Source organism: Homo sapiens, chromosome 12, assembly GCF_000001405.40.
Source record: "Homo sapiens chromosome 12, GRCh38.p14 Primary Assembly".
Classification (NCBI taxonomy): domain Eukaryota; kingdom Metazoa; phylum Chordata; class Mammalia; order Primates; family Hominidae; genus Homo; species Homo sapiens.
The window spans coordinates 98,384,630-98,391,933 of record NC_000012.12 but is presented as its reverse complement, the minus strand read 5'-3'; the positions used below and the strand labels follow the sequence as shown (position 1 = coordinate 98,391,933).

The window sequence follows — 7,304 nt, the reverse complement described above, 5'->3', positions numbered from 1 at the left end:
TGGCTTGAACTTTGAAATCAGTCCTTCTAAAAATATGCCTTTCATCATTTTCCGCATTCTTAGGGATCTAGAGTGACTTCCTATGTTGCCTGTTGCACTCGAGCTCAAAAGCCTATGCCTGAGTTTTAAGTCTGCTCATAATTTAGCTTATCTTCCTTTCTGGCTGCATGGGTATAGTCCCCTGGGGTGCAGATTTTTTCTCAAGATTGCTCTCATCGGCTGTTACCCTCTCATAGAGTCTTTAGATTGCTAAACCATTGGTAGATAGCTGCTGTCCCAGGAGCACTGTCACCCCCCAAACCAAGGTGTGCTTTTGCCTGGGACTCATCCATCTGTCCGCAACCCAGCAACTAAACAAGGGTTAACAGCTGGCAACCAGGAAGCACCAGCCTCATCACTGTGTGCTCTGCTGCATCTGAGCCCCAGCCAGACAGTTAGTGAAACACTTTGTGTGCACCGTGCACAGACCCAGGGAACGAACTCTGTACTCTTTCCACCTTCCCTGCTTGCTCCTTTTCTTCTGTGTTTGTTTAGGTGCTTTCCGTTTTTCAAGATCGAATGTAGCAAACAAGTTATCTATGCAGTTAATGATGATTTATTGAGGGCCTACAAAACGGGCACAGTGGTACAAAACGGGCACAGTGGTGCAAAACAGACATCGCCAAACCTTCATGGAGCCTAGAGTTCAGATGGAGGAAAGATGTTACATCAAACAGTCATGTAAATCAGCATAAGTTGTGTGGTGTGGGCCATGCAGGCAGTACACTGGGGCAGTGGTAGCAGGGTGTTAGGGTGGTAGAGTCTGTGGGAACTCTCACCTCAGTGTCTGGCTGGGACTTTGCACCTGGGCCCTGGACCTGCTCTGTGGATGGGGACGGGGAGGTCAGAGAAGTTTTCCATGCAGTCCTGGCCTTTGGGCTGAGGTCTGAGTAGATGTTAACTAGGCCTATAGGAGGAGAGGTAGTGTCATTCAGCAGGAGTGGCATGTATAAAGTCTCTTGGGTAAGAGAAGTATTGTGCATTTCAGGAATTGACAGTAGCCAGTGTGGTGGCCTAAAAGTCCCATTTCTCCCATGGACTCTTCTAGAACTCAGAATTTTACCCTTATAGGCTTTTTTTTTTTTTTTTTTTTTTTTTTTTGAGATGGAGCCTCGCCCTGTCGCCCAGGCTGGAGTGCAATGGCGTGATCTCGATTCACTGCAACCTCCGCCTCCCAGGTTCAAGTGATTCTCCTGCCTCAGCCTCCCAAGTAGCTGGGATTACAGGAGCATGCCACCACGCCCGGCTAATTTTTTGTATCTTTAGTAGAGATGGGGTTTCACCATGTTGGCCAGGCTGGTCTTGAACTCCTGACCTCGTGATCCACCCGCCTGGGCCTCCCAAAGTGCTGGGATTACAGGTGTGAGCCACTGTACCTGGCCCCTTAGAGCCTCTTATTTATTCATTTGTAAAGAGATTGATGGCTTCAACAAGCAATAATTTGGGGCCTATTGTGAACTGTGCAAGGCACAGAGAATACAAAGCCTGCTACAAGTGCCCACAGTACTTTTTCCTTTCCCTTTATGCTCAGTCCACTTTTATTTTATTATTTTATTTTTTTAGAAATGTGGTCTTGCTCTGCCACTCAGGCTGGAGTACAGTGGCACAGTTATAGCTCATTGCAGCCTCAACCTCCCAGGCTCAAGTGATCATCCCACCTCAGCCTCCTGAGTAGCTGGGACTACAGGTGCACACCCCCATGCCCAGCTAATTTTTGTATTTTTTGTAGAGAGGGGGTTTCACCATGTTGCCTAGGCTGGTCTCAACCCTTGGGCTCAAATGATTCTCCTGCCTTGGCCTCCCAAAGTGCTGGGATTACAGGCGTGAGCCACTGCATCTGGCCTCAGCTCACTTTTAAATATTGTCTATTGCTTATTACCCCTTTCTTGTACTCCATCAGAGGCTATAAGTTACGTTCTGAAGGGACTGTGTTCTAGAATATCCTAGATACTGGGGCACAGAGCCTGGCACATAAAAGATGTTCAACATATGTTTGTTGAATGATTACGTGTGTTGAATTAAAGCCTGATGAAACATGGTTGTGACCTTAAGGATCTTACATCTGGCAATGGCTTAGCATACCACTCTGCATTATTCTTTAATTGCTTCATGTGCAAGGCCTCTCCCACCAGACTGTGAGCTCTCAGAGGGCAGGACCAGTCAGTTAGGAACTGGCTGTGAAGCATTAGTCTAAGACTTCATAAGAAGGAGAGGATATGATTTGAGTTGGAATCTAGCTGATAGACAGAAGTTTGCAAAATAGAACCCATCATGATAAAATGAAGTCTTTTGAAACTTCTAGGAAAAATCATTTTGAGAGTTAATAGTAATAGTAATTATAATAAAGTTTAACTCAATTTTCTCAGCACTATGGTGCTGCTTCTGTGAATTCTTGGCTTTACAGTACAGGGTTCCATATTTATCGGGATTGAGGAAGGTATGTAGCCTGCCAAGTAAGCACCATCTGTATTTTATTTTTTGACATTTGAGAAGCACTGCAGATAGACCCAATCTCCATCCACTTCCCATCTCAGCTTCCTGGGTCACTGCCTGAACTCTCACATAGAAAGGTGACACGAAAAGCCGGTGGGGTTATTATTACCTCTATCCCATGCCTTATTGCCTCCATTAAAGAAAAATGGGTCTGAGATGGGATCCTTCGCCCAGGGATCTGAGGAGGCTAGCCTCAGGCCCAGGGGTCATTTTTTACCACAGTGAGCCTGATGCAGGGAGTTCTTAGAGGGAAAACTTGTTAGCCAGAGAATGAAATTCTATCTGGGGCTTCGCAGCTCTGTAATAACCCCTCTAGTGACCTCACCCAGATGCATAAGTCCACTGATGCAAGCTGGCCAGTTTGGCCTTCTCTTCTGTGTTGTAGGCAACGGCTTCGGGGAAGAAAAGAGGGCAAGGTGCACGGGAAGAAATGAGCTCAAAGGAGATTGTGCCAATTACTGCACCTGTCAGTGTTCAACAACAGATAAAATTAATTCGGAAACCCAAACAGTCTGCAGAAAACCGAACACAATTATCTAAGAAATTAAGTTATACCGTTGCCATGACCTTTAATCAATCATCCAACCGTTAATGTTAATTTTGTGATCTAAAAATCATAGTTCTATTTGCATTTTAATGGCTGCTAAATGAGTGTCATCAGGAAGAAATAATGGCAGGGTGGCCTTTTGCTACAAATTCTTCCTTCCTAATGGTGATGCACAAAGCGAGGAAACGGGTGTTTGGAAAAGGTTTTGTTTCACCTCCCAGCAGATGTATGGAGCTGCCCTTCTCAAATGAAAAAACAAGCAATTCCCCACAAATACCACCACCTGTTGTTATAAATAAATCCAAGCTGTAAAATGGAACGAAAGCTTAATGGCAAAATCATTATGCACCTCCCACCCCCTCCCGTCAACCCTTCATAATAGCCTCTTAACAACTTGTTCCTCAGTCGTGTACCTTTTTAAGTTTTCGACCGCCATCAGGTCCCAGCCCTAACCAAGAGAAATGGCCTGTGGATTTGTGGCTAAAAATAAAAAGTTACCAACCTCGGGGAAAATGATCACACGTCCATTTGCACGGTTTAAGTGGCTAGAAACTGGCTACGTGCCACTCTACACTTAGGGTTCCCTTTAATTCTTAATCCAGACATCCAGTGGCTTATTTTACAGCTAATGAACCTAACCTTCAGGTGGGAGCATAAAATCCTAATTAAATCCGGGCATCATGAGGTTATTGGCAGGCTGTCTATAATTCGGCAGAATCTTGATTCTGTGAGTAGCGATAGGAAAATTATAAAACATTTGAATTGGAATGTTTTATCCTTTAATTATCCTCTTACCCATCTCCAAACTCTATTTCCCGACGGACTTTATCACTCTATCTATAAATATTGATTGTTTAGCAGGCCCGGGATATTACACTTATTAAAAATATTGCATTCCTCACCTGAAACTCAGCTTCTTTCCTTAAATCTCCTGTGAGAAGACTTAGATGAATTATTTCTTCTGATGAAAGAGGTCTTAACATTATAAATTGGGGGAGAAAAAAGCTTTAAAAATAAAGAGCTTCAGAGATTTTTTCTGAGTACAGGACACTCAAATAAGGAAGGGAGGGTAAAATATTAGAGATGGATGCTAACTTATTTTTTTCCTGCAAAGAAAAGGTGGGGGGTGGGTAATGTTCCTGCAAAGATTGCAAAACTCCATTTCATAAAAGATTTATTAGCAATGACAGAGGGAGATTGCTGAGTGGAACTCTGATAAATGCCTCGGCTTTTTTTCCCTGCTTTAAAATTATGGGTTCTGTCCATAAAGTACTGATTAATTCATATTCACTCAATGACATACCCTTTTTTTTTCCTCCCCCAAGCAAAGATTGTAAGCATTTTACTTCAACAAACAGTACTCTGGGTGGGATGCATACTAATTCATTTAGCACTGGAACTCGCACCACAACTTATGCAGCTAATCACAGCAAAGCAGGAAAGAATCTTTTCTTTTACTGTGACAAGACCTGCCTACCTTTCAGCGTTTTTCCCCCTAAGGTATTATTAATCTCAAAACTTTACAAAATTGAAGACTTATCTAAGATCCTTCAAAACAGAATAGCGTCATATGTAGCAACTCCCCAAGAGAGAAAATTCTTTGCTTTTCTAAAAGACTGACTGCAGCAATTGGGAGTCCTTTCTTGTTTTAAAAAAATCCAGATAAGTAACTGGAATGTGTTCTAAATTTTCAGATTTAAAAATACAGTATTTATTTTGGAATACTGGAAGGTTCCGGAAGAGAAAAAATGGCAAAGGACCTGGAGGGAGGAGAGTAGATGTTCGGCCACAGATCAGGAGCCAGTGGTGGCCATTCCCTGAGGTTTACCTGGGAGAAACACGAGGGTAGTAAAACAAGATGGCCAGACCTCCCTGCTTCCGAAGGTTACCTTCGTGCAGAGAGTCAGCAAGCATTTTTCCTTTTTTTCTTTTTTTTTTTTTTCTTGAGACAGAGTCTCGGTTTGTCTCCCAGGCTGGAGTGCAGTGGCGTGACCTCGGCTCACTGCAATCTCTGCCTCCTGGGTTCAAATGATTCTCCTGCCTCAGCCTCCTGAGTAGCTGGGATTACAGGTGCCTGCCACCACGCCCGGCTAATTTTTGTATTTTTAGTAGAGACAGGGTTTCACCATGTTGTCCAGGCTGGTCTTGAACTCCTGACCTCAGGTGATCTGCCCGCCTGGGCCTCCCAAAGTGCTGGTATTACAGGCGTGAGTCACTGAGCCTGGCCACATTTTTCAATTTTAATAAAGTTTTAAAATAAGAACAAAAATACATTTAAAATATTGGAAAATATAGTGAATTACTAGCAAAAGAATGATTTTACCAGCTAGTACTGTGCTAGACATAAATCTGGATTAGTAAGAAATTTTCCACAAAAAAGGATCTCTTTAATTCTGGTTTGGGAAACAGGGGACTGTAACCTCCATGAGGGCAGGTACCATGTCTATCTGATACTCACATGGCCCCGTGCTTGGCATACGGTAGATGCTCATATATATTTGTTGAGGGAATGAAGTTCTAAATAAATATTAAACAACAGTGTATGTCCAAATTTGATTTTGGATAACTTTGATTTGAAAGACCTAAAAGTATTGAAGCAGCGTTGTTCATCTGGGGTAACACCTGAGGCTTGTTGTCTTATGGCAAGGAAATCAAAGACACGGACACATCTGGAGTGAGGTTAAGAGCAGAGGTTTAATAGGCGAAAGAAAGAGAAAAGAGAATAGCTCTCTGCAGAGAGAGAGAGGGGTGCCTGAGTGGGTCTGCTGGTTTTGTGGTGAAGTTGTGTCCAGGGGAAGAACATGTAGGATTCCTGAACCTTTTAACTAGGGATCCAAGATCTGAAAACTGTTGTGATGAGACTCCCACAGGTTTGAAGAGGCTGAGTTCCAATCAAACACAGGGTTTTATAGATGAGCTTGAGGAGGTGGTGTCTGATTAACACAGGGCCCAAAGATGGTTGGACCAGGTGTGCCATTTACATAGCCTGTGAAGAAGCTGGCCACCCCACCCTAGTCTTTTATTGTGCAGATGAGTTCTCTAGCTGGCGGCTCCATGTTGTCTGTTCCTTACTGAACATGTGGTTGACAAAGAAAAGGGAAGAGGGAGCTGCCATGTTGAACATGCCTGGCCCCCAGGTAGCCTTTTTCTATTGGCATAGCTGCTGGTATTTACCTATGTAAGCTTTTAGCTTGCTTATCTATGCTTGCAGCTTGATTTTTCAGGCTGCTTTTTGTTAGGAAAGAAATGATTTTGGGGCTGCTTTTGTTTTTTTTAAAAGGAAACCTTATTGAGAACTCTCTTACCCTCCCTATCTGCCTAAATAATTTCTTTTTAGCTCCTGTATCAGTATTGTCATGATCTAGGCTTTTGAGCGATTTCTAAGTTGTTTCATTAAGGTCTAGTTTAAATAGGTGGAGAATGGCTAGACACCAAGTTGCAGGGGAGGGGGGACATGCTACGATGGAAGATGCCTTCCACCAAGAATAACATCGACTTATTGAAAGTTTCTCTGTGACAACTACGGAACTAAATCTAATTTACCTCTTTCAGTCTTTACAACAACTCTGAGAGGTATGAGTTTTTATCGCTATTTTATAGTTTGGCTCAGAAAGCATCATAAGTGATTGATTGAGATCATACAGCTAGTAGGTGGCAGACCTGGGACTCAAATGCTCCTTGTATGACTGCAGCCTTTGGGCTCATAAATGCCATGCTTTACTGTCTGGAGGCTAGGTCAGCCAGAGATGGGAGCCAAATGTAGCACATCCAGGGTTGGCACATAGGGATGTGAGTTTAGAAGATCCCTCTCAAGGAGTTGCGTCCAGGGGAAGAACATGTAGGATTCCTGAACCTTTTAACCAGGGTCTACTAGGGATGCAAGATCTGAAAACTGTTGGGATGAGACTCCCACAGCTTTGAAGAGGCTGAGTTCCAATCAAACTGGCACTAGCACTGGGAAAGCCAGGAAAAAGTAGTCAGGGAGCTGGTGACAGGTGTTGAGAGACAGGAAAGGTAGCCATGGTGGCTGGGGCATAGAATTCTGCTTTCAGCGACTGGGAAGATTGAGGCTTTACAGTGGAAAAACTCAACATGTAAGCCATGGGGTTCAGCCCCTGGTGGACACAGAATTAATCAAGATGGACTCCATAAGTCTCCTTGTTGACAGAGAGGTCAATCTATTTGTCTTAATTGGGGACAAAACTAGTACCAGGGCCTGGAATTG

The 7,304-nt window shown here is 43.5% G+C and overlaps 1 annotated feature.

Annotated features, from left to right (window-relative positions):
- Positions 5,753 to 6,254: an enhancer, noted in NCBI's record as "OCT4-NANOG hESC enhancer chr12:98779458-98779959 (GRCh37/hg19 assembly coordinates)". NCBI's record gives its function as "activates a minimal SCP1, AML or CMV promoter by ChIP-STARR-seq in primed H9 embryonic stem cells {active_cell/tissue: H9 hESC(primed)}" and the evidence as "EXISTENCE:reporter gene assay evidence [ECO:0000049][PMID:30033119]".